General features: G+C 49.5%; 1 annotated feature.

Annotated features, from left to right (window-relative positions):
- Positions 504-698: a silencer, noted in NCBI's record as "fragment chr2:129816763-129816957 (GRCh37/hg19 assembly coordinates)". NCBI's record gives its function as "represses an EF-1alpha promoter that drives an FKBP-Casp9 reporter gene in an ReSE screen in HepG2 liver carcinoma cells {active_cell/tissue: HepG2}" and the evidence as "EXISTENCE:reporter gene assay evidence [ECO:0000049][PMID:32094911]".

The raw sequence follows: 923 nt of genomic DNA, 5'->3' as shown, positions 1-923 counted from the left end.
CAGGAGTCCACCTTTCACAGGCAGCTGAGAAAGGGGAATCAGACAGCAAGGCCTGCTTAGGATGGCACCAAGATGCCGCCACCTACATTGTGATCTTCTAGTGGAGAGAGCAGCCCTGGGGTGGAAGTTAGGAGGCCTGAGTTCTCACTCCCACATTCTTTCACTGTATTCAACAAGTCAGTGAGAAACTGCTCCACGCCATGCCATGTGCTAGACAGGAATGCAGACAAGAAGACAGTCTCGGCTTCCAAAAATGTCTAGGCTGATTTTGTCTTCATTTTTCTTACCACCAATCTTCTATATTTTCACTGAGGTACAAGTGAGGAAATCTCGAACTCTTTGGCCTTGACCCCACAGACCCCAGCGTGGCTATCTGCATGCCTTTCATTGGCGGCTCTCGCATGCAAAGCTGCCACTTATTGTGGCATTGGGCCCTGCTTACCACTCTGTCCCTGGCAAACCAGGCAGGAAAATGAGGAAACCAGCCACAGGTTGGACTTAGGCCACAGGCTGCTGCCACTGAACTTTACTGGGCATGAGGGGATACTACGGCATGTCAGAGAGGATGGAGCTGCCACGTATCAGCTGGGACAAAGGAAGTCCAAGAGAGCAATAGAGCCCGAATCGCTCTCCTGCTGAGACCTCTCCACGAGACCATTTGGTCTGGGTAGCAGGATTGTTTGTCTACTTTATACACCCTCTTCCCCCTTCCAAGGTAAATACTGTCCTGGCTATTTAAAATTGCCAGTGACAATGTTGCTTTTATAACAGGCCTGACAGGTTCTGTATCCCAGTCTTTGCTACAATTTTTGAGAGATAAAAATGGAACTGGAGTCCTCAGAAGGGCCTATTTTGTGCCCTGATGGCAAATGAATTAATGGAGTGATGTGACTTGCCTCCTCCCTTAGCCCACCCCCTAGTTC

This window comes from Homo sapiens, chromosome 2 (assembly GCF_000001405.40).
Source record: "Homo sapiens chromosome 2, GRCh38.p14 Primary Assembly".
NCBI lineage: Eukaryota > Metazoa > Chordata > Mammalia > Primates > Hominidae > Homo > Homo sapiens.
This window is presented reverse-complemented; position numbering and strand designations above follow the sequence as displayed.